Source organism: Homo sapiens, chromosome 6, assembly GCF_000001405.40.
Source record: "Homo sapiens chromosome 6, GRCh38.p14 Primary Assembly".
Classification (NCBI taxonomy): Eukaryota; Metazoa; Chordata; class Mammalia; order Primates; family Hominidae; genus Homo; species Homo sapiens.
The window spans coordinates 4,935,218-4,961,312 of NC_000006.12; the positions used below are offsets into that span (position 1 = coordinate 4,935,218).

At 45.1% G+C, this 26,095-nt stretch overlaps 1 protein-coding gene across 8 annotated transcripts in view, besides 1 other annotated feature; it reads left to right on the forward strand.

Annotated features, from left to right (window-relative positions):
• The window catches only part of CDYL (chromodomain Y like), a 249,407-nt gene extending 229,080 nt beyond the window's left edge, over positions 1-20,327 (forward strand). For 7 of the 8 annotated variants that reach the window (NM_001368125.1, NM_004824.4, NM_001368127.1 and 4 more), the window contains 5 exons: positions 298-554; positions 2,348-2,520; positions 8,329-8,539; positions 17,049-17,192; positions 18,681-20,327. In NM_001368125.1, the coding sequence (NP_001355054.1) occupies positions 298-554; positions 2,348-2,520; positions 8,329-8,539; positions 17,049-17,192; positions 18,681-18,839 (944 nt within the window). In that variant the 3' untranslated portion in view covers positions 18,840-20,327. The remainder of the gene's footprint in view (positions 1-297; positions 555-2,347; positions 2,521-8,328; positions 8,540-17,048; positions 17,193-18,680) is intronic. The other variant, NM_001368126.1, reaches the window with a different exon arrangement.
• Positions 11,722-12,465: an enhancer, noted in NCBI's record as "H3K27ac-H3K4me1 hESC enhancer chr6:4947173-4947916 (GRCh37/hg19 assembly coordinates)". NCBI's record gives its function as "activates a minimal SCP1, AML or CMV promoter by ChIP-STARR-seq in primed H9 embryonic stem cells {active_cell/tissue: H9 hESC(primed)}" and the evidence as "EXISTENCE:reporter gene assay evidence [ECO:0000049][PMID:30033119]".
• Positions 20,328-26,095: the final 5,768 nt, after the last annotated feature.

The window sequence follows — 26,095 nt, forward strand, 5'->3', positions numbered from 1 at the left end:
CTTGATTCTGTCCTTTAAAAAAATCTCTAACTATGTAGCTTCCTTTCAATAAGTACCTCTCCATCTGTATTTTTTAGGCAAGGTGAAACAAAAGAGTGACTTTCTTGTCAGAGCTTGAAAGAGAGCAAGTGGCTTTAAAAGTAGACTTTGGCTTTCTAAAGGTTCTAAGTTTTAATATTCTTATATTCGTTTAATCCTAAGTGTGTAATGAACATCTTTATCCAATTCAAAGATGACACCTGGGAGTGAACTGGTGGTGGGACATCACAGACTACTGTGATTTCAAACTCTCGGCAGGTACATCTCCGTTCATGGATGCATTAACAGCCAATGGGACAACCAACATACAGACATCTGTTACAGGAGTGACTGCCAGCAAAAGGAAATTTATTGACGACAGAAGAGACCAGCCTTTTGACAAGCGATTGCGTTTCAGCGTGAGGCAAACAGAAAGTGCCTACAGATACAGAGATATTGTGGTCAGGAAGCAGGATGGCTTCACCCACATCTTGTTATCCACAAAGTCCTCAGAGAATAACTCACTAAATCCAGAGGTGAGAGGCGCTCTTGGGCTGGCGTGGGCTTCGCGCTTCTCCCTGCCTGATTTCCAGGCCTGCCTGGCTGAACTGGCTCTTCCTGTGCTCTTTCTAAACCTCCTTTTGGGCCATCTCCCGATGCCCACCAGAAGGGAGGGAGCAGAGGGGAAGTTGCGGGCTTTGCTCCATGTCCCACCTCCAATGGCCGTGAATTCAGGATGCTTGGCCTGTGCTGAGTGTCCATCCCCATTCTCCCGGGTGTGGGTCCACCCAGGCCTCTGTGCCTCTGTGGTTCACCTCCTGCCTGGAAGCTCTTCATCTGGCGGGCACGGGGCTCCATGAAGGCACGTGGGAAATGTGTGTGCACGCGCTTTGCTTTAGCTTTCATCAGATCCTTAAAGGGTTCTTTGTTCAGACAGAATTTAAGTGCCCCCGGGGATCCCAGTCCCTTCAGAATATTTATCATCTTTCCAGTCCCCAGATACTCCTCAGCGGTTGTAGCAGAACACACAGCAACAGGGATTTCCACACATGCTCATTGCTGATAGTGCCTAGTAAGTAAGTTTTCCAGAACTGGTTGTTGGAAAGGTTAGAACATGAATTTTGTGAAGTTTCTAGAATCGGGAGTATTTGAACCTAACCTATATCTTTCCAAAATTTTAAGTCCTAGTAGTTTGTGAGTAGCTAGGTTGAGTTTTGTCCAGACAAGAAAACTTAACTACAGAAAGTCTGTGTGTTCGCCCGGGGTCACATAACAAACCAGTTCAAAGTTGGTCCTTGGTACATTTTTAGACTGCAGAGTCCCTTCATTGATTATTTTTAAATGCTTCACAGAGATCATTTAAAATGATTTTATGCCCTAAAATTACCAGTCCATGCTAATGTGCTTGGACTTAACGCACTTACGCACCAAACTATTTTCTGTCCCAAGTGTAATAGGGTAGTTTTTAAAACAAAACAAAACAAAAAACAGTAGAACTGAATGAGTTTCTTTCAACTGGTTTGAATGTGCCACCTGCTGTCCAAACTGGAGAAATGCCCAGTGATATAATAAGCAACTTGCCTTATCTAAGAGCCGCAATTTGCCTTATCTAAGAGCCGCAATGGCTGTATAAATACTAAGATAACGTAGATTCCCATGTCTTTTTAATTATACTCGAGTTATGTAGTTATATTTTACTCCATCCCCAGCATCTCAATCTCTGGTTACAGAAAATGAGACATTTGCAAATTAATTAAAATCATGGTAGATATCAGTAACTGTATCAGGCTATGATGCATTTTTCACAGATGCAGATTCTCCAGTAATAAAATGCTTTTAGGCAGGGTGCGGTGGCTAATGCATGTAATCCCAGCACTTTGGGAGGCCAAGGCAGGAGGATCACTTGAGCCCAGGAGTTCAAGACCATCCTAGACAACATAGCAAAACTCCATCTCTACAAAAAAAGTTGAAAAATGAGCCAGGCATGATGGCACAAGCCTATAGTCCCAGCTACTTGGGAGGCTGAGGCGGGAGGATTGTTTGAGCCCAGGAGTTCAAGACCACCCTAGACAACATAGCAAAACTCCATCTCTTACAAAAAGGTTGAAAAATGAGCCAGGCATGATAGCACAAGCCTGTAGTCCCAGCTACTTAGGAGGCGGAGGCGGGAGGATTGTTTGAGCCCAGGAGTTAGAGAGCACAGTGAGCCTTGATTAAACCACTGCACGCCAACCTGAGCAACAGAGTGAGACTCTCTCCAAAAAAAAAAATGCTTTAAGATTTTAAACCCAAAATATTCTTTGCCACTTTAACTTCTGGTGACTTTCAGGTAATGAGAGAAGTCCAGAGTGCTCTGAGCACGGCCGCTGCCGATGACAGCAAGCTGGTACTGCTCAGCGCCGTTGGCAGCGTCTTCTGTTGTGGACTTGACTTTATTTATTTTATACGACGTCTGACAGATGACAGGAAAAGAGAAAGCACTAAAATGGCAGAAGCTATCAGGTATGTAAAAATGATGTTTTTTAAACATTGGTTGGGTGTTTTGTTTTTGGTAAACCAATCCTGATAGAATGGGCCTGACCAAGCCTTGAGAATAAGATACACATCTTCTCCCATGGAGAGACACGAGCAGCAAAATTAATTAAATCATCTGTCTCTTCTATGGGCCTGCCATAAATTACTACTTGCCTTGGGCAAAATCTTTTCTATGGGCCTGCCATGAATTACTACTTGCCTTGGGCAGATAACTGATTTCAAGGTTGGTTTAAACCCTGCAAGTGTTCGGAGAATGTTCTGATGATTAGAGTAGATGATCATGGGTAGCCAGAGTTCCTATTATTTGTGCCGTGAGTATGTTCTGTCCTCAACCCCTAGATAAAGATCTCTTCCAAATAGTAAGTTACCATTTGCTCGACTCTGAAGTAAATTGTCTAGGCTTTATGATGAGATAGCTCCGTAACACCACATGGAGAGTTTTGTTTTTTGGTTTTTTTTGTTGTTTTTTTTTTTTGTTTCTTTAAATACAAGTAGTGCACATTCTTGTTCAGTTTCATCCTAAGTTCCAACTGGACAGAGAACCAGATAGTAGGAAATAAAAAGCAGAAGTCCTCCTTGTCCCTCACTCCCCTCAAGGTATCCAACATTCATTGGTGTGTCTTCCCCAACCTTTTTCTGAACATTTTGTTATAATTTTCAGTTTAATTTTTTAGACTTACTTTTAAACTCAGAAGTAAAAATTGTATATACTTATAGTGTACAACATGGTGTATTGAAACACGAATACATTGTGGAATGGTTAAATCAAGCTAATTAGCATATGCATTACCTCACATACTTACTATTTTGTGTGTGTGGTGAGAACACTTAAAATCTACTCTCAGCAATTTTCAAGTATAAAAATACATTAACTGTGGTCACCATGATGTACAATAGATGTCTTGATCTAAGCATTTTCAAATTTTTATTTCATATATACACACAAATAGTATCAATTTAGTTCTGTTGTTGCTTTGCAACTTGCTTTTTTCATGTGACAATATGACTTTGAGATATTTCTATTTCCTTGGTTGTTGGATTTTCCTCTGCTATATGATAACATATATCAGCAAAACTTTCTCTAAAACCACTTAATTCGTCTAAAATCATATCCCCTCATTTATCATGCTAATCACTCCATGTATAATTAGAAGTGTCTGATTTTTCGGAGATGAATTTTATTTAAAATGGATGAAACCTAGTCATCAACATGAAAGTTGGCTATGCTTCTCTACTCACCTCCCTAAAATGACATATCCCCAGGTGGCCCCCATAAACCCTTTGTGCTTGCCTTTTTAACTTACAGAGGATGAAAAATGAAAGAAAACGTAGACTGGCAAAATGGCAGTAAAGTAAGTTGGATCTTTTCCAAAATCCCAGATTTCTGGAGGGCTGAAGTTGAACTACTTTTGATAGTTACTAGGCTCCAGCTGAGCACTGCCCTTGGTGCACTGGGCTTTCTAGCACCTAAACCCTTCTAGAGCTTGCACAGCAGGATTGGTGTGGTGGGTAGGGGGGCTCTTTTTTCTGTTTTGTTGAGTCTGGGGTAGGCAGGGACGTCTTTCTTTGACTGACACCCAAGATGGCTCTGATGGGCACCAAACAGCCCATCACAGGAGTCCTGGAACCCACACCTCTGGGTTGAAGGGGATTGCCTTAGCCTCTCATGACATATTTAATCATTTTCAGAATTACTATATTTTCTCATATGATGTACACATGTATTTAGGAGGTTATCCCTTAATCTTTTGAATGTTACCTTTTACAGGCTATCACATTATGTGTGGTTTTTTTCAGAAGTGGTTTGAAATTTTATAGTCTGATCTTATTAAGTATTGTTTCTAATCTCCTAGGGGATTTCATCCCTGTGGTACACTAGGTGGGACCATCTTGTTCTTCAGTTTAAGATTAAACTGCTTGATCAGTGTCATAAATCCTTGGCTGACTCTCAGCGCCTCTAAGACAGCTTCATTATTATCCATTCAGGGTGAATTCCATGAACTTAACTTTTATTTTTAAAATACAAACCACCATGCCTCCTATGGTCACTTTGCATGTTCTCCATAATATCACGCTGAATGTACACATAATATTGTGCTTTTTGGTAGCTCTGCGGTCATAAGAAAATCGGATGTGTCAGCCAGTGCCTTCTGGGTCCTGGCTCCGTTTTCCCGTGTAGGCTTTTCCCTGGCTCCACTTGTGAGCCCGCTGGTGCCTCGCCGGGTGCAGCTCACTCCTCCCTCCAGCGTTGAATTCCCTTGGACAGAGGCTGTGGGCTTGTGGCGCTGGGATCAGTAAAAGCAGAGGAAAGCTAGATCCAGCCAGGTTTAAGTGGAGATCTCCTTTGTTGAACTTGATGTCACTTTAAAAGTTCACTTTCATCAGCTCCCTGCTCCGTCCACTCTCCCTACTCCACACAAAAAGCTGGATTGATATTCTTGTGAAGAGCCAAGTCCTGCTTTAGGAAAACCAACTTGTTTCTTCTTTATGTGACTATATTTTTGTCAATGTGAATTTTCCTTAATGTAGTCTGGCAAGATCAGAAAAATAATTAGTTACACCAGAGTCACTTAACCTTTCCTTTTCTTATTTGCATTTAAATTAATTTTTATGTGGATAAAAGCTCTTCCTGTGTATATTTTTCATTTCTCTGGTGTCTTGTCTCATGTTCCTTAAAACTTGGAGGCAAAGGACTTCATCGTAGCAAGTTTCCAAAGGAAAAGCGGGAAGCAAACAGGAAGATGAGGTTTCATATTAGGTCACCAGGTATCTAGAGCAGCTGACTTTGTGACGAGGATTCGTGGTTTGCAGTTTGCAGGGTAATTGCAACAAAAATATTCTGCACCTTTGTGGTTAGAACAAAATTCTTTCAAGTTCATGGACAGCATTAGGCTTTTGAAGTCTGCCAGAACCAGTAGCTGCCACTGGGTTTTAAGGACCAGGAGACTTCTCTCCCCAAAAGTGAGGTTTCTTCTTCCTCCCACAGAGGGAGACCGGGGGCCCTGCCCAAGCAGTGCCCCAGGGGCAAGAGGATTTGGGAGAGAACAAAGTGAGCCAGTAAACATGCCCCATGACCCTGACCTGTACCCCATTAGTCCTTCAAACGAAGGTGCCATTCAAATGAGAGAGACCTCAGCCATGGAAAGCAGCACACTGGCTGCCCAACTTCAGGTCCCTGCTGCCTCCTTCTCCCCAAACGTTCCTTTGACAGTCCCTACATCTTATGTGATTTTCCAGCTGTTTGATATTTCCAGATTAGTAAATGTCCTTTAAAGGAAGAGTTTTGTTTAATTATAAAGTCTTTTTAGACTAATTATGTGGCAAATATCAGCCTCCTTCCCTGCCATACCCAACAACAGCCTTGAATTCAATTCCAAAGAAACAAATTTAACTTCAGTACATTGCATGGCAAACATTTGAGTGTTCATACATTTTGATTTCAAGTTTAAAACACACTTGGCTGAAGCCCACAGAAGCAGGGGCTACTTGGGAGAGGACCGTCCCAGGCTTGAAGGCAGCCCCTGCCTCGCCTCTGGTTCCTTGTGCCTTGATTTGCAGCTCCCTTGGTTAAGCCTTTATGGTCCTGGGAAGTTTCTACTAGGCAGAGAAAGCATTTCTGTAAAGGTTTTCTTTTTTAAAACAAAACGAGTCTCTGTGTGCACCACATCCATTTCTGGCATCTCAGGGCTCACTATTCAGAATGGCCAGTTCCCATTCCCTGAAAAGGGAAGGGGCTCTTTGCTCCAGAGCATGCTGGTTCATTCATACCCCGTCCAGAAAGAGCCACCAGCTTCAGGTGAAGTCACCATTCCAGGCAAAAGTAAAAATAAAATTTCAGTTCCAAAAAATGCCTTCAGCCTATCAAAATCTAAGTTTCGACTTACCAATATCTATTAATATTTTAGAAGCAGATTTTTTTATACAAATATATGGGCATGGAGGCAAGGATATATGAAATAATTCCTTTTACTGTTTTTCTGTAGAATTACCTTCTTATTACCTTGACTTTGATCATCGCTTTTATGTTAATTTATTGCCCCATCCGTGGTTTCCAGATGTCAGCCTGGGCAACGGCTATAACAGTTTGCCTTCTGTTCCATAAGGCAGATGAAATTGGAGCTACTCAGATTTTGGAAACAGCTGTTCCTTATCATTGAGAGACAGTTCAGCAGTTTTACCTTTTCATGAGTCATCAGTTACTGGGCCTAGGAAATGTATTTCCATCTTGTGTCATTGACCCCATATCTTCAAAAGATGACACAACTGAAATAGCTTCATGTAGTTCTTCTAGGCTTATTTCAAGAGTCTGCTTAAAAGGTTGTCTGACACTCTGATCATTAAACCCCAGTGTGATCTTTCTAAGAATGCCTCAGGCTCTCTCATTTAGAAAGACTTAGTGCAACTCATTCATTTGAATGAGTTAATTCTTGCTCAATGCAAAGATCCCACAAACCTTGGGGGCTAGGCTGAGGTCCAGCCGCTAAACTCTGCAATTCCTCACTCTCCTGTTCATACACACACAGACACAACCCTCCTCACCTCCCTGACCTGCCCCTGCCAAAAAATATGAGTCATCCGTCAGTGTCTCGGGGAGTTGAGTGGGGAGCTATCTCAGATGCTGAGTCATGATTTTCAGAGAAGATCTGAACAGATTGCTGTGGTTTTAAATTGCTGAATTGTAGAGAGCATCTAGATTGTTATTTTCAGTATTAAAGATGGGGGTCAGGTTTAGAATCCAGCAAGTGAAAAGCTGTCCTTACTCTGCACTTCTGATCTAGAACTCAGCCTGCACTGAAGGGACTATCTTGTGTTTCTTCTTTTCTCCACTGTGTGAAATCATAACAAGAAACAACCTCTGAGCATAAGATCAGCTTCTAGTATTTAGGGGAAGAAAATGCACATTCCTAAAGTGGTATGACACCAAGCTACCCTACATTGAAAAGCAGCCTACTTTTCCAGCCTGATCTAAAGCAAATCCCAAAATAGCATGGGCTTGATTTATTAAACCTCTGTCCTGTGCAGAGGCTGCCCCACGCCTGACCCCACTGTCCTCCGAACTCCTGCTGCAGCCGTACCCTCCAGCCCTCAGTGGAGCAGGATGTGGGTACAGGCCTGAGCCCTGTGCTGTTTGCTCTTCTTGTTTGCAGGTCGCATGTCTTGAGCCAGCCTGTGACACTCTTGTCTCTGTATCCCCCAGACTGTTCAGTCCACTTCCACATAAACTCAGGAAATAGCAATTATTGCCAGATAATCAGTGAGCTGTCTGAAATCATGAACCAAGGCCAGACCCAGATCCCAGGGTTTTTGTGAACCCTAATCCACCACCGTACACTTAACACCAGGCAGTCTTAGTATGCCCTGGGCCAGATTTCCTCTGTGACAGCTTCTTGATTTGTCTTGTGAAGCCCAGAATATGTACTGGGCTCCTGTGTCTTCGAGGGAAGACAGGTTGGGGAGCAAGATGTGTTGTTTATAGAGCCCGAGAGCCACCTGCAAATTCCAGTGCAGCTCATGGCTGCATGTTACCCTGTGGCCTTCACGTAGGGCCTGTAGTGACAGCCACTACATGCGTGGGCTCCAGGCTGTCACCAAACCTTTACAACACGTAGTAAATAAGTCTAGGGTCCACAACTGCTGGGGAAGGCCTTAAACAAATCTCAAGTCTTCAGGATTTCCGTAGCATTTACATCTTGGTAAATTGAATTCCATAATAGACTTTTCCTTTGCTCAAATATGCAATGTTTTGAGTAATTCCCCATTTATTTTTCATTTTAGAAACTTCGTGAATACTTTCATTCAATTTAAGAAGCCCATTATTGTAGCAGTCAATGGCCCAGCCATTGGTCTAGGAGCATCTATATTGCCTCTTTGCGATGTGGTTTGGGCTAATGAAAAGGCTTGGTTTCAAACACCCTATACCACCTTCGGACAGAGTCCAGATGGCTGTTCTACCGTTATGTTTCCCAAGATAATGGGAGGAGCATCTGTGAGTACCTTTTTAAAAAAAAAAAAAAAAAGTCATTCTAGAAAGCTTCCTGAAGAAATCTAGTTTGGTTATTGTTTTTCTAAAGCTGTACAGTGTGTCATTCTGTGGGGACTTTCCATCTTGTAATTCAGATTTGGGTTCATAGACGTTGTTGACCTTTGTTGCATCATTCCCTAGAGAAGGACTTCATTCACTGAGGAGCCTACCACTTTGCATAATTCACATGGATATCTACTGTTAGTAAATACCCAATCAGTAACCCAACCAACAATTTGCAATTGAAAAGTTCTTCACCTAATAACTTAAAAACTGCACTTTTAAGAGAAGGCAATTTTAAGAGGGAGCAAAGTTACATAGGATTAGAGGGTTGTCGTCCATATAATTGTGTGTTTTTATTTCTTTAACTGTTTAATCCGTTCATTATAGTAGTTTGTGTTTGTATTGTAGCTTGTGATTTATCAAGCAGTTATTCACATCTCATTCTCTAGTCCTTGAAATAGGGCAGGAGGTGGTGTCACAGGTCAGGTTCTCCAGAAGCAGACACTGAGATGAGTTTGGCACGTGGAGAATTAGCAGGTAGTCAGTACCTGTGGAAGGGATGGGAAGGAAGCAGGACCGCACAGAGGAAGAGGTCAAAGTGATACTATGCCCATCATCCTTAGGGGTGGGATGTGCGGGAAGCGTTGCACCCTGGACGAGGTGGCTCCCTACAGCTGAGGGCATCCCTAAAGGCGCCCTGTGGCCGTCTGCTAACAGCAGCACCCGCAGCCAGGCAGCCAGGCCTCCCCAGGAGCGATCATGGCAGCACAGTTCCATGTCCACCACAGTTCACCCCAGGGCCATTCAGATCATTGATGCACCTTTTGGGGGCCAGCTCCTTCAGGTTCCAAGGGGCTTTCTTTCTGGGAGAAACTTAGAGGAAGAAGATTAGGCAGCAATAACTTGCAGGCCAGAACCTGAAATGTTTAACCTGGATGTTATAATCAGTGGGTAAAAGTGTGATGAGAAAAAGGATATTTGGATCCTCTCATTATTTGCAGTGGGAAAAATAGTAACTTTACAGTAAAGAAACCTGGCAGCTACCACCTTGCCGAGTGGTCAGAGTTCACAGAAATAAGACAAAAGCCAACATGAAGCACTGAGGGGAACACAGCCTTCGTCGCTGCGTGGGATTTCTCCTGAAGGTGCAGCAGCTCAGTCTCATCATGAGGAACGTCAGGCCCAGACTGGGGGGCAGTCTGCAGACACCCGCAGTGCTCCACCAAAGCGCCAAGGTCGGAGAAGACGTGGAAAGACTGAGGAACCGTCTCAGACTGGAGGAGACCAAGGGGACACGACAGCTCAGAACATCAGGGACCCAGGATGGGCTCCTGGGCCAGAGAAAGGACAAGAGTGGGAAGGCTGGTGAAATTCACATCATGTTTGTAGTTGAGTGACTAGCACATTGTCAGTGGCTTTGGTCATCTTAAGATGTTATGTGACATTTTTTAACCTAGGGAGAGCTGCCTGAAGGTTTATGGGAACTCTGTACTACTTTTATCATCTTCCTGCATCTAAACGTACTTGAAAACCAGAACGTTTAAAATAAAGGAATACAAGAGAGGAGGAGGAAGGTGACTAGGCCAGACTGTGTCCCCCAGTGCCGCACTGGTCTCAGAGCTGCCCTGCTCCTCACCTTCTCACACCCCAGGGTAGTTCCCCTCACCCATAGCTCCCACCTCTGCTGGCTTCAGCAGCCGCCCAAATGCTAAAACACTCACCCCCAAGGGATCTGTGGCCTGCTCACTGTGCCCAGCTCAGAGTTGCTGCACTTGTCCACTTAACTGCTATAGTTGATCAGGAGAGGAACAAGCAGCACCGGCCTGCATCCCATTTCCCAGGCCACGTGTCCTTCCAGATAGAGGTCTTTGTACTGTATGTGCTACAAATCAGAAAACGCTGCTGCCCACCATCATGGAGCCACCTCCAAACTGGCACCTCTCAGGCCGTGCCGACGCCCTACCAGGCTGGCGGCTGTGGCAGGTGCTATATGTGACTTAGCCACAGGACTCTCGGGTCCTGTCCCCTGACATGGTCTTTGCTGTGAGGCTGGTGTTCTGGTCACAACGCACCACCCTGAGGCACCCCATGCTGGTGGACTAGACCTTCCATAGCCACAGAGAGTGATGCTGCCTGAGGATCTGCAGGTGGGACAGGCAGACTCAGACCCAGAGGATATGCCCATGCCTGTTGGAGCCGTCAGCGTGCTGCCCAGCGCCCACAGGCGGGCCTCCCTGGGAATGGTGTCTTGTGGGCCGATCACATTGGCATCTCCTGCTGGCAGGCTGGACACTCAGTAGCAACAGCGACTGCATCAGCCTTTGGTAAGTCAGAGACTGTGCTGTTGAGGCCCCTCTGGCCAGCCCTGGGTGGCCAGCGACCACCAGCCATCTCTCAAAGCTGTTCAGTGCCCCCTCCATGGCGGATGCTCTCAGGTGGACATTAATGTGAGACAGCAACCTGCACGCTTCCCATTCCTCCACCCACCACACGCCTCTGTCCAGGACACCCACCCCTGCTGGCAGCTAGTGTTATTCTAACCTTGATCCACTTTTTTTTCTACACCAGGGGGTGACCAGGTGCATCTGCCCCCAGTGGGGGCATTTTCCTCACCACATTCTCTTTGAGGCCTGCTGGATGAGGCTCTGGTGAAGTTGCTGTCCCCTTTTTGGCTTGCCCATCCACCCAGTGAGCCAACCCACCCACAGGCCACACTCGGTCACAGGGAGTCCCCCCATGGCTGTAGGTATGAGCTGAGGCAGGGCGCAGGTACTCAAGGGTCTGGGGGTGACGCAGGGGTCTAGGCTGCCGGCCCATGCCCTCTGGAGCTTGCCAAGCCCAGCTGTGCATCTGCCGCGGGCCCTGCCTGACCTTGCGCCTGTGGGGCTGATGGAACTCAGCTCGTGGTGGTCACTCCCCACATGTGGTCATGTGGGGTCCCGTGGTCGGGCGCTTTGCCTCTCCCAGTCCCAGCCAGCACTCCAGGCATGCCCTTCCCTGCTGTGGATGGCCCCACCGGCTGTGCTGCCCTCCTCCCTCTGGCACTGACCACAGGCTCCATATGCATCTTGTCCCACCCCTCCCTACTCAGCCCTGGCCTTTCAGCCTCACTCAGCAGGGCCCCCACCTCCCTCGTGCTTCCAGTAGCCATCCCAGCAGCCAGGTCAGACCATCTCCTGGGAACCTAGCAGGGCCAAATCAGTATCGCAGGAGAGCCCCCACGTCAGTGAATCTCCTGTCCAGCTTGTGGTTGGGCCCCAGGTCAGGCGCCCTGAGAATCCAGGCCCTCGTGTTTTCTCACAGCTCCCACCTGCACCCTTGGCTGGGTCGTGCAGCCCGTTTCAGGGAAGAGGCGAGTTACAGGCCTGACGCCAGGAGAGGGGATGGGGCAGGTTTTGGGGGGCAGTGTTGCCTTGCTGAGAGATATTTGCCTTATCTTCTAGCAAGGGGGGCTTACGTGTTCTGATAGGGATGGGTGGGCCATGTCCGTAGGCTCGGGATCAGAGGAAGCTGGACTTCAAAGTTGGGGGCATTCACCCAGAAGCGCCTATACCAAGTTCTAGGGTACCTCCCCACCCCTCACAAGCTGACAGACCCTCCTCCAGTGGCTGATTAACCTGGGTGGAGCTTGTCCACTCTTGCTGACAAGTCCAGGGGCTAAGGCCAAGTCTCAGCCCTCTCTGCCTCTTGCTCCCGGCTGCCCCTCTGCTTGCACCCATGTCCCTGCCCCTCACCTGTGAGAGTGTTAGCACGTGGACGGCTGCCTGTGCCAGGTACTGTGGCTTCTCCACCTGGCCTGTTGGGGGGTGGTCCCTCATTGCCAGCTGGGGAGCCGTGCAGTTTCTAAACCTCTCTCTTCACCCTCGGTCTGTCCACTCCCCTCGTCACAAGGTGGTTTCTCTGGAAGCTAAGATAGATTTGGGAAGCAGGGTCTGGTAGATTAGGTGCCAGCGTCCATGGAAGGGCAGAAAGGAAGCAGGATTGGGCAGAGCTGACTGACAGGGAGCTCTGGAACCACGTGGCCTCACGGCGGTTCCCGGTGCCCCACTGCAGTTGGCCGTGGGGTTGGCGGCCCTGGGAAGAGCGGTCCATGGGGGAGGCCCTGAGCTCTCTGTTGCCTGCTGACAGCACTTCCCACAGCAGGCAGTTTGCTGGGGTGGGGACGTGGGTGGCTTATCCAAGTCATTTGCTTTGTCCTTTACACCGTACTGCACGCACCTGACACCACCAGACTCCCATGGTAGAGTCATTATCAGTAAAATCAGTTCATCGTAGTGATTACTGTAAACGAGACTGTGTCCTGCCAGTTAACCCTGTCCCGGCAGGAAAGAATCCTCATCCTCTGGAACATCCCGTGAATCTCATTTTGAGTTATTTATCCAAAGGAGGTTGAGATCTGAGGTTCTGACCCCTCCCACTGTATGATCTATGTAGATGTGTGGTGTCGGTGCAGATGTGGGGCAAATACTAAACCACCTTGATGTTCAGACACATTTTGGCCAAAGACATTTTGGAAGTGGAGCCCTGGAGCTGAATGCTGCTCAGGGGTAGAGGTGTCAGAGTTCACCATTCCCAGAAAGGGCCATGAGGCTTGAAGTCATCACAGGACGAATGCCTGCCCTCTGGTCAGCCGTGTTTCTCCCTACTCTACAAGCCTTGGCAGATCTTTACTTTACGCTTCCCCTGGAGATGTACTGGTGCCTCTTGAGCTGCTGCTTTCAACTGGGCAGTTTTCACCCCCGACCTCACCCCTGGGGAACAATGTCTGGAGACAACTTGGTTGTCACACATGAGGAGATGGCCGTTAGCAGAGGCTGGGGTACTGCTCGGCACCCTCCATAGCCCACGGGACAGCCCTGCTTAGCACCCTGCATGTAGCCCCCACAGGACAGCCCCCACACCAAACAACAGTCCAGCCCAGAATGTCCCTAGTGTCCAGGGGGAGAAACCCTGCTCTAACTCAAGAGCGAAGAGCCTGCATTTCACTCGGCGTGAATTCTACACTTTCTGAGCAGAGTATCTGACGAAGCCTCTCTACAGAAAGTGAATAAACGTTGTTCAGATGACTTCGACAACTCTTGTTGAAAGTGACTATGCAGATGATGTAAATGATGTCGTTCCTTTCATGAGCCTTTGGTGTACTTGAGCTTTCAGCAGCCTGAGGCAAGACTGGACAAGTGTGGTTTTCCCCACTTTGCATGTGCAGAGCTCTGCCAGGAGGATAAGCTAAAGGAATCACATTATCAAGATAAAAAGAATATGCAAATAGTGCAGGCTGTGTGGCCTCTCCTTTCTTACAGCAGGCCCTCCGCTGTAGGCGAGGGCTACGTAAATCAGCCAAGGAGTCTCTTCCAGTTTAGCCTTCCTGGTGCCCAGTAGACATTCATGGAGTGCATGGAGGATGGCACGGTCTGACGCCCACAGGCTCCCACGTGGAAATCTTGCACCTCTCAGGGGCCTGCTGGGGTGTGAAGCTGGAGAATGCCCAGCGAGTACCTGAGGGCCTTACCCCACGCTCACACCTTGAGAGCCCTCTCTTGGGGACTTCAGAGACTGGCCTGAGGGAGCAGGTGGTAAAACCTCTGCCACAGCAGTCCCCATAAGGCTGAAGATTCCTGGATCCCCTCTGCTCATACTGGGCCAGTTTCCTCGCCACCCGTCCTGCTGTACTCTGGCCAAACTAAAAAGACATCTCTATTTAACTTTCCTCGGCATTTCCCATCTCTCTGGATGGTTCCAGGATAACTTTCTTTTAATAGTTGGACAACTTTGACCACATCATGGGGTGATGTAGGTTGTCTACAGGGAGTCCCTGTGCACTCAGCCATCTCAGAGCAACGTGCTAGCTGGTCAGGTTCCCACCGCCTGCATCTGTGTGAATCGGTTATTTGGGTAGAAGTTTGAAACCTCTCATTTTGAAACTACTGAAAATAGTGTGTTTATATAAGAATATGCTCACGCAAATTGCGTGTATTTAATCCTATAATACATATCTTACCAAGGGAGATTTGTTGTTGTTGTTTTCTTGGGTGACTGTCGTTCAAACCAACTCACTGGCCGTGTTTAAGTGAAAAAGCTTTAACAACCTAGCGTGAGCCCTGTCATTTTTGCTCTTGAGTAAATTGAGAAATGCCCTTGCTTGTCCTGCACATCCAACCACCTGGAATGGAGAACACCGAAGGTAGGGAAAGGATCTCCAGGGATGAGCAGGCCTGGAGCCGGCGGGGCTGTGGAGGAAGACCGGCCGCAATGAGTGAGTGCTGAGCAGAGAGAAGGGCCGTTCTCGGCTGGTATCAGGCCCAAGAGAGTCAACAAAGGGGGGACGAAAGGGAGACAGGGAAGAGAACAGTGGTGGGGCTGTAAGTTGACCTCCAGGTGGCAGAAAATAAAGTTGGAAGAATTGACTGGGACAGACAGCCAGGGCCCTGCAGGAAGGGCGGGAGAGGAAGCCTGCGGACACCTGCCCTTTGTGATTGAACCGCAGACACCAGGCCTGGCGGGGTCGCTTGCCTCCGCTGCCCAAGCTAAGGCTCCACTAAGCTGGTCCTGAGAACATACTTCATGCTCAACTTCAGGGATGTGGCTGTAGTGTCCTCACTCTATGCTGAGAATGAAAGAAGCACAGTCTATGAAAGGAAAACCCCGACAGCACAGAGCACTTCGTGCGGCAGCAGCACACCGGGAGTCCCACTCCCTTTCCTGCTGCGTTTGGATCTGCCGTGACAAGGACTATCAGAACCACTCACAGTAAGGTCGGGTCGCGTTTCTAAATCCACTGTTTATGGACCGTCTTTTCACTGAGAAGAAGCTCGTCAGTTCAGGGGTTTCTAGAACTTCTCCAGACTCTTCAAAAACTCATGACTTTCTCCAAGTTGGTAATCCCAGCACTTTGGGAGGCCCAGGCGGGCGGATCACGAGGTCAGGAGATCGAGACCATCCTGGCTAACACAGTGAAACCCCGTCTCTACCAAAAAATACAAAAAAAAATTAGCCGGGCGTGGTGGCGGGCGCCTGTAGTCCCAGCTACTCACGAGGCTGAGGCAGGAGAATGGTGTGAGCCTGGGAGGCGGAGCTTGCAGTGAGCCGATATTGCACCACTGCACTCCAGCCTGGGCGACAGAAGGAGACTCCGTCTCAAAAAAAAAAAAAAAAACTTGCAAACCCTCATGAGGAGCCTGTCCCCAGCCCTGTTTTCCAGCCTCTGCCTGCATGGGAGGGGCAGTGAGTCAGCCACGTGTTTGCTTTGCCGCCTCTGCCTGTGTGCTCTCCAAGCTGCGGGTTTCACATGCAGTAAACGGCATCAAGACATTGACAGAAGGTGTATGGGCAGTCTTACACTGTCTCAGCGACTTCAGGGCCAAAACTGTCTTTTGTGATTTTGCCTCTTTTGGAAGTGGAAGCCACCTACCGAAATTGTGTTTTACCAGAGCCCCAGGAGCTCATAGTCAAGGCTTTGTGACATCAGAGTTGTTAGGAAGGTTAACCGGGCAAGATAAACGACAGACCAAAAATTGTCCCCTCAGGCCAGTGTGGAGTTTCTTTATCAGACATGTGTGCACCCCTTCCCGCCTTATCTCGGCATCTGTGAGCCTGTCATTTGAATGATGTAAAATCCATACATGTTGTACTGAGACCTTAAAAGTGATCTAGTTCAGTGTCATGTATTAAAAAATAAAGTGATCTAGAATCCAGGACAAGGTTAAAATTAATTTCATATATACACATATATATTCTTTTAAAGAAAACCTAATGTTAGCTTTCTCCACTGAGCCGTGTGAGGTGACTGTAGCCAGCCCCTCAAGCAGATTACGGTCATTTTTCGCCACATTCAAGCCCTGGATAGTTCTGTCTTTTCGTATCCAAGCGATACAAGGCAGCCTCCAAGGTACGCTCTAGCAGAAACGGTCGCTGCCATTAGAATATTTTTTCTGTATATTAAAAACAAGTCACCATTGGCCTCCCAGATAAAGAAAAGGTTTGGTAGGAATTCTGTGCCTGGTTCAAATCCTTAAAATTATAAATTGCCTAACTTTGCATATGCTGATTTTCCCAGGATTGTTTTGTGTATTAAAAGAGCTCACACGTGGGAAGGGCCGGCATTAGGGGGAGGAAGGCAGATGAGAGGAGAGGAAGCTATACCAGTAACTTTTTAAACGAATGGCAAAAAGACCTTTTCTATTTTAGATTTCTTTATTGAGTCCCTGTAATTCTGTAGTAGGTTGTAAAATAAGACACTTTTTGCTTTCCTTTTTAAGAAAAAAATCATCAGCCCGATAGATTACTTTCCCACCTGCCCAATGGACTGCACCTTGCACAGGGTCTGTTCCCAGCGGCCCCTAGAGGATGTGCCCCATTTCCCTGCGGGGCTGGTATTTGTGAATGTTTCCCTTCGGTGTGGATTTTAAGGGATGGGTCTTCCCCGCCCGCCTCCCACCGCAATTCATATTACATCCACTCTTCTTCCTTGCAGGCAAACGAGATGCTGCTCAGTGGACGGAAGCTGACAGCGCAGGAGGCGTGTGGCAAGGGCCTGGTCTCCCAGGTGTTTTGGCCCGGGACGTTCACTCAGGAAGTGATGGTTCGCATTAAGGAGCTTGCCTCGTGCAATCCAGTTGTATGTCTAATTGCTTCTGTTACACGTTACTTTTTAAAAAATAGAAACTTTTCCCTCAGAGAGCTCACAAATTTGCAATTATTCCTAAGTCCTTTACGTTTGTCCTCAACAGAGCACCTTCCCGTGAAGTCCTGCCAGAACCTATTGCCGCCACTGCCCCCACGCACGCCTTGCCTTCCCTTTGCAAATACCCAGGAACCACAGAAATGGACTTCAGTCTGAAATGTCAGCAAGTTAGCAAATGTCCTATGAAAGTCAACAACAACTAACATGGATATAATTCTTTACTGGTTCCAAAGCCTTTCAGTCACATTATTAGCTTCTCCCCTGTTTCCCCACAGTGGGCCTAAGTTGTTTTTGGGTTGTTGTTGTTTGTGAGATGGAGTCTCACTCTGTCGCTCAGGCTTGAGTGCAGTGGTGGAATCTTGGCTCACTGCAACCTCAACCTCCCGGGTTCAAGTGATGCTTGTGCTTCAGCCTCCCGAGTAGCTGGGACTACAGGCATGCGCCACCATGCCTGGGTTATTTTTGTATTTTCAGTAGACACGGAGTCTCACCACGTTGGCCAGGCTGGTCTCGAACTCCTGACCTCAAGTTGATCCACCCACCTCAGCCTCCCAAAGTGCTGGAATTACAGGCATGAGCCACTGTGCCCGGCCTCCTAAGTTTTTGTTTAATAAATGTGCTAAATAGGCCGGGCACAGTGGCTCACGCCTATAATCCCAGCACTTTGGGAGGCCGAGGAGGGCAGATCACTTGAGGTCAGGAGTTGGAGACCAGCCTGGCCAACATGGCAAAACCCCGTCTGTACTAAAAATCCAAAAGTTAGCCAGGCTTGGTGGTGCACGCCTGTAATCCCAACTACTCGAGAGGCTGAGGTGAGAGAATCGCTTGAACCCGGGAGGCGGAGATTGCAGTGAGCGGAGATCCCGCCACTGCTGTCCAGCCTGGGCAACAAAGCAAGACCCTGTGTCAAAAAAAAAACCACAAATAATTTTTTTTTAAAATATGCTTGTAACAAAATTGCATTTGGCAAATTATAGGATGTGAAATGTATAATATTAACTGACACGACTCCCATCCCAGGCAGACAAGCAACCCTCATTATGAAAATTACATTTTGTTTAGAAAAATTCCCTCAACAGGCATCCCCAGAGCTTTCTGGGCATCAGCAGAGCAGACGTCCAGTTCGGGGGTCCACGCCAGTATGCGGCAGTGGCGCGGGGCCGAGGCTGCTCACAGGCTGGGTGCCGACAGCCCAGCTCTCCTTTGAAATAAGCCGTTTTGAAGTTAAGAATGCACCCAGTGCCAAGTGTGAAATGTGCTTTATACATATGTTAGGCCCGACATATTGTGAGAAAATGTCTGGTAACCTTTTTAACAGGTGATTGCTGGAATTTGATGATTGCCTCCGTAAATGTGGAGGCACAGGGGACCCGTGTCTGCCCGCATGCACCCTGCTAACTGGCTGCTTGTTTTCCGGTGCAGGTGCTTGAGGAATCCAAAGCCCTCGTGCGCTGCAACATGAAGATGGAGCTGGAGCAGGCCAACGAGAGGGAGTGTGAGGTGCTGAAGAAAATCTGGGGCTCGGCCCAGGGGATGGACTCCATGTTAAAGTACTTGCAGAGGAAGATCGATGAGTTCTGAGTGTCGGGCTGCCCACTGGTGACACCGGGATCGGGCTGAGCAGGAGAACATCACCGGCTCCAGTTCCCCTGATCCATTCTCACAGCCTGAAACAAGCTCACCCGTAGCTTACGCTTGGAAGCAGGACTGGGAACATCCACGCTATTTATTATCGAGGAGTTTTAAAGTACTGTAACTTTAAAATAAATAACTACAAAGCTTCTTTGTCCAAACGTCATTATTTTATACTTATATACACGCAGGTGTAAAAGTATAAAGGTGAGCACTAGACTGCTCTTAGAAGCTCTAATTTTTGTTTTCTTTGGCTAGTACTGTATAAAAAACAGAATTGTGTTTTATTGGTTTTGGATGACAGAAAAGTCTGGAATAATGTTTGTTTTCCTCATTTCTTCCTTCTAGAACACAGAATCTAAAGGGGTATTAGCCAGCCTCGCCTCCCTGCCCCACGTAGAGACACAGAGTGATGTGAGGCGTTGGCTTTTTCTCCAAGAAGGTACAGATACCTCAGATTCGGGAAACTCAAAATCAAAAGACTTAGCTTCTAGGATAAATACTTCTGATGAAAAATCCGCTGAGGAGCATACCCCAAACCAGACATATGCTTAGGATTCATGCTGAGATATCAATTGGTTTCCCCTTCTTTTTAAAATACGTCCAGTTCTTACCCAGTTAACATGAAGAAACCACTGTCTCTAGAAGAAAGCTTGTTTTGCAGTATTAGTGAATCACTGAATAGCTTAAGTATGACTATCTAAGTTATAAGTTAGTCTTTAGTGGGTTTTAAATAGTTTTTCTGACCCTTCTGAAAAATAACTACATAAGTGCTTCTTGTTGCTGGGTGAGAAATACTACTTTATAGACAGTTTTGGTTTTCTGTTTGCAGATATGATTGATGTATTTCACCAAAATAAAATATTTTTATGTTTATAAAGTGTAATTTTTAGGTTCACTTAGAATATATTTTATTTAATAAGTTAAAATTCTTTTGGCACACTATTAAATGCAAAAACTCCTTTCAAAACAAAAAAGAACTACCTTATATTCAACATTTAATGTTCTTGGCCTCTGCTTTTATGTCTATACAATATACTGAGTTCAGTATGGTGTCCAAGAGTGCCCTGTGTGGATAGACATGTGCACTCCTTCCAGGAGTGGGTACTGATTCCAGACTCCAGATGCCTATTATTAGTTAGGCTTCTGAGCTTGCAATCATATTGAATGTATGAAGAGCGAAATCAAATTCTTATTTTTGTACAGTTTTGAAGTTTATACTTAGAACTGACCACCTCCCCGGCCACGCGGAGAGCTGTACAGTGTGTAAATCTGCCTTTATCTTGGATTGATTGGTACAGTATTTTTGCATCTGTGGGACCTACCTTTTCGTTCAGTAGTTTGAACTATATATAAACTGTACAATCTGTAAAGTTTTTATAGAATAAATATTCAGCTGTGAAAACTGGTTAAATAAAACTAATATTTCTTAACACATTTGAAATGTTTCTCTGATTCTTGTGAGATTTCTCATGGGATGTTTTCTCTTTCGTGTGTGTGTGAGATATACATGTGTGTATAAAGCATCTGTACAGTTCAATGGAATGAAACCCTGTGTGACTAACACCTAGGTAGGACCTAACAATTTGACCAGTATCCTCCCTGGTCACCTTCACCCGGGTGACCATTTCCTCACTTTGTGTCCATCATCCACTTCTCCTTCAAAGAACTTATTCCTAAAATAAATTACTTTTAGTTCTACATGTTTTTAACCTTTATATCATATCACAAATAAGCTTCTGTGACTGACTGACTTCATTCACTGTTAAGTTTTCTCTTACGTAGAGTTGTAACTTACTCCTTCTTTACCCAAACCTGTCGTGGCTGTTTTCACTCCTGTTTTACAGATGAGGAACCTGAAGAATTAAACACTTGCCCAACGTCATGTAGGTAATTTGAACAGGAGTAGCATGAAGCTTTTACCCAAGGTCGATGTGGCAAAGCACATATTCTGGCAAAGACACCAAGATGTCAGTGTTGTAGAATTCACAAATAGGGAACTGAGTAAAATCTCCAAGTTGTCTGTCTGCATCATCCGAGACTTTGAATCCTCTGGGCCTTGTGAGCCACCTCCCCTTTTTCTGAAGCAAACCTTCCACCTTCCAACTTCTTGCACAAGAATTGATCCCAACTAGAAGTAGCACTGGCGACAGCAGTGAAGTGCTTCTGTTTTGTGCCCTGCGTGGGTGAGGAGGAAGGGAAATGCGACTGCTCAGGTGGGTGAAAGTCTCGGTCCAACTTTTGAAGAGAATTTGACAGTAACTGTCAAATATAAAAAGCCTGGACCCAGCAACTCCATCAATAAGGATTCATCTTAAGGAATGAGTGGTCATAGGAAATACAACAATAAAGATAGGTACGCAGTTAAGTTCATCTCAGGATTGTTCCTGACAGTGAAGCATTGGAAACTGCATTCATGTTCCTCAGTAGGGTTTTGGTTAAATAATTGTGCAACACCATCACAGTGGAATACACATTTATTGAAAAAGAATGTTGATGAAATCTTAGGTTTAAAGAAAATTGTATGCTTTAAAAAACTTTAAAGGATATGCATGAAAAACATCTTGTATATATCCAGTTCTCTCCCCTAGAGCTTCCCAGCTCCTGGGCTTAAGACTGCTCAGCCCCTCAAAGCCAAAGTCGGGAGCCTGTTACCCCTGAGAGCCAGAGACAGGCACAACAGCCAGGCAGCCTTGCTTCCTCGACCATGAGGGTAACAGTGATGATGGCACTTAACACTGCAGCATAAACCAGGCTCGCTTCGAAACACTTGATGTCCGTTTGCTCATTCAGTTTTTTGAGATTATTTTGCAGAGAATATTAATGTAATACACATTAATATGCTTTTCCCAGATCCACTCACTGAGCCCATCTGGTGGCCTGTCTGTACTGACCTCTCCTGTAACCAACTTTCCCCAGCTGGTGGCCTTCCTGTCCTAGCATCACTCTATAAAATGAGAGGTCTCAAATAGTCTTTAGGCAGGCTGATTTAGTTTGTGATGTCCCCAGCAATACTAGTGACAGCTACAGAAAATGAGAAGAACCCAGAACTCTGACGATCTTGGAGGGAAAAGTGTGCCAACTACGTAAACGGGACTGTAGATGGCCTCAGACGGGCTGCTCCCATTCTCTCGCCCCATATTTGGTCAAGAGGGAGTGAGGGGTGCCCCCAGTCTCTGGGCACAGCAGGAGCCTAGGGGGCTAGGGCCAGCCTCATGGCCAACTCCCTCTCATTGGGCTCCTCAGAGGCTCCAACCCACTGGTACACTTCTTCTTACACTAGTATGAACAAGCGTTACAGCTTCTCCAAAAGAAAATCAAGTTCTCTCCCCTAGAGGTAAATATAAATATTTATAAATATTCTAAAAGAAGAAAATATATTTTCTGTGTGTTGCAAGAGAATTGGCACCTGCCAAATAGTGACACACAGCTTAAGAGGGAAAAACCCTGGGGACACAGGATTCTGTCATTGCCCTAGGGAAACTCAGTCTCTGCTTTTCCCAGGTCCGCTCACTGAGCCATCTGGTGGCCTCTCTGTGCTGACCTCTCCTGTAACCAACTTTCCCCAGTGCATGGCCTTCCTGTCCTAGCATGCAGACAGGAGCTTTCTGAGGCTTTTCCGACAACAGCCCCAGGTTCGTGCCCCACCAAGTGTGAGAAGCTGTTTCTAAGCCGAAACTTTTCAAATGGACTCCAGGACATGCCAGGGAGTCCCGCCCTCTAGAGGAAGGGAGAGACTCGGGCAGGTGAAAGCACAGATAACTGGGAATATGAGACCCTGGAGTACAGCCCAGAACTAAGGAGGAGAGGAGATCTCCGATGTTTCGTGCACCAGTTTAACTTTACATGTGAAGAAACTGAGGCCCAGAAGGGTCAGGCCACTTGCCCACCATCACACAGCCTGTTGGTGACCTAGCACCTGGGAAGAGAGGGCTACACTCCACTGCTCTATGCACTCTTCCCTTAAGTGGGAAGGCAAGGAGGGGACCAATGGCCTGTGGTGTCCAGCCCATCCTGGCATCCCATGGGCCTGTGATTCTCTGCAAGTGAGAGTGGTGGGGCAGCATGGCAGAACGGGTGGTTCCAGCCTGCCCAGTGGCTCTGGATTTAGGCTATTTTCAAGTCAACGCTAAACTTACCAGGGAATTCTGATGGTCTACAAGCTTTCTGCATCTGTAAGAGCTGGACCAGCCCACCGAGCTCTCTCAATACTAACTAGCATTTAAAAATAAATACCTTCACTATTTGGCAACAGGGGAATCCTCTCCTATCACAGGAATCCTCTCCCTCTTCCCTAGGGAACGTTCTGACAGCATGTCTGTCTGAAGAAGCAAACGAATGTCTGCTTTGGTGAAAATGACATTGAATGATTTCAACCCTGGTTTAAAACTTACTTTTTTGGCAAGATAAGAGACTAGCATTTCAAAATTTAAAATCTGTTTTATGACCTTTAGAGTCACAAGCACTTAAATGGCTAATAAATGGTTTAATACAGGTATTAGAATAAAAGCTAAGATCTAATGTATTTAACATTAATTCTTATTTTCTTAAATTTTATATACTAAAACTGGGTAAATTATATACATATATATGTCTATCACCTGTATGAAACACACTGCATAGGACAACTAGACAGAGGATCAACAAGGAAATAGAAGACTGGAACAACATTTTAAACCACCTAGACGTAACACACCTATACAACCCTTCATCCAATAACAGCAGAGGGCATATGCTTCTCAAGTGCACCTGGGACATTCTCGAGGATAGACCATATGTTAGGCAATAAAACAAGTCTTAAAAGTTTAAAATGATTAAAATCATACAAAGTATGTCCTCCAGCCTCAATGGAATGCAATGAGATATCAATAACAAAGAAATGTGGAGAATTCAAAAATATGCGGAAATTAAACCACATTCCTAAATAACAAATGGGTCAAACAAGAAACCACAAGAGAAATTAGAAAATACTTTGAGATGAATGAAGATGAAGACACAACATAACCAAATTTATGTAATAAATTATATAATAAAACATCTATATGAGAAAAGTAGATGCCAAATCAATAACCTAATCTTCTACCTTAAGAAACTAGAAATAAAGAACCGCAAACTAAACCCATAGCAAGTAGAAGGAAAGAAATGAAGATTAGGGCAGGAGTAAGTAAAATGAAGTACAGAAAAACAGTAGAGAAAAATCTATGAAACCTAAAGTCATTTCTTTGAAAAGATCAACAAAATTGACAAATTTTAGTTAGACTGACCAAGGACATAAGAGACTATTCAAATCACCGAAATCAGAAATGAAAAGGGGGGACACTACTACCAACCTTAGAGAAATAAAAAGAACTATAAGAGAGTGCTGAGGAATCGTATCCCAACAAATTAGATTAGCTAAATGAAATGGACAAATTCCTAGAAAGACACAAACTTGAAATTGACTCAAGAAGAAAGAAAAAACTAAAATAGACAAAAAGATTGAATCTGCTGTCAAAAAACTTTCTACGAAGAAAAGCCCAGCACTAGATGGCTTCACTCATAAATTCTGTCAAATGTTTAAAAAGGAATCAATGCCAATCCTTCACAAACTCTTCCACAAAATAAGAGGAGTGAATGCTTCCTTACCTCTATAAGGCTAGTGTTGCCCTAATACCAAAACCAGACAAAGACATCACAAGGAAACTATAGACCATATAGACTATATATTTATGTTAACATTCCTTATTAATACAAATGCAGATATTCTCAATGAAGTAATCTGACAACATATAAAACTTATATGTACACCATTACCAAGTAGGTTGTGGTGAACTGCAAATGTGCCACTGCACTCTAGCCTGGGTGACAGGGCAAGACCCTGTCACAAAAAAAAAAAAAAAAAAAAAAAGATGCTCAATGTCAGCCACTATGGAAATGCAAATCAAACTACAGTAAGACATCACTTTATCCCACTAGAATGACTATAACAAGAAAATACCAAAAACTGAACTAATACGTTCAGTTATAATAACAATAACAAATGTTGATGAACATGTGAAAAAATTGAAATCCTCACACATTTGCTGGTGAAAATGTCAACTGGTACAGCCACAGTAGAAAACTGCTTGATAGTTCCTCAAACTGGCATAAGGATGAAGTTAAACTTCTTAAGGAACTCTTAAGCCTTGCAATTCTACGTCTAGTATATATCCAAGAGAATTAAAGATAGGTACTCAAATACTTGTATGTGAATGTTCATAGCAGCATTATTCATAATAGCCACCAAATATTCACCAACTGGAGAAAGGATAAACAATGAATTGGCATATCCAATGGAATGTTATCTGGCAATACAGATGAATGAATGAGGTATTGATACATGCTACAGTGTGGTTGAACCTTGAAAACATTACGCTAAGTGAAAGAAGCCAGATGCAAAAGGCCACATATTGTATGATTCCATTTATATAAAATGCCAAGGATTGGTAAATCCATAGAAACAGAAAATAGATTCGTGGTTTCCAGGGACAGGGGGTGACATGGGGCAACCGGAGTGGGGAGCGGCAGGTACAGGTTTTTATTTGGGGGGTATGAAAATGTTCTGGAATTAAATAATGGTAATGTTCACACAACCTTGTAAATATCCTTTAAAAATTGAATTGTTTGCCTCTTAAAATGGTTAATTTTATGTTGTTTCAATTATGTCTCAATTTTTTGAACGTGTGTGTATATTATATATATAATCCTCTAAACTAACATAAGGAGACTATGGAAAAATACTTAACTGATCCGAAATGTGCAAGAAAGATGTGAAAAAGCAACATAGACTGGCAGGACAAATAATAGCACATAGAAAATATGGTATATTTTATCTCAAAATATTAACAAACACATTAAATAAAAATAGACTAAATTCTTGTGTGAAAGCTAAATATTTTCAGGCTGTATTCAAAATATATTGACCTAGATATACATATATGCTGTTGACAAGAAAAGAAAACGCATCGGAAACTGAAAAGTTGAACGTAAAAAGGTAGAAAATATATACTGTGCAAACAATAACCAAACAAAAACTGGTGTAGCTATGCTAATATCAAAATATCTATTAAAGCAAAAAGCATGGTAGGAAAAAGTTTTTCATAATGACAGCAGACTAAGTTCTATTGAAAGATATATAGTTCTAAATTTGCGTGTACCTTGTTACTTATCCTCAGAGAAGAAGAAGA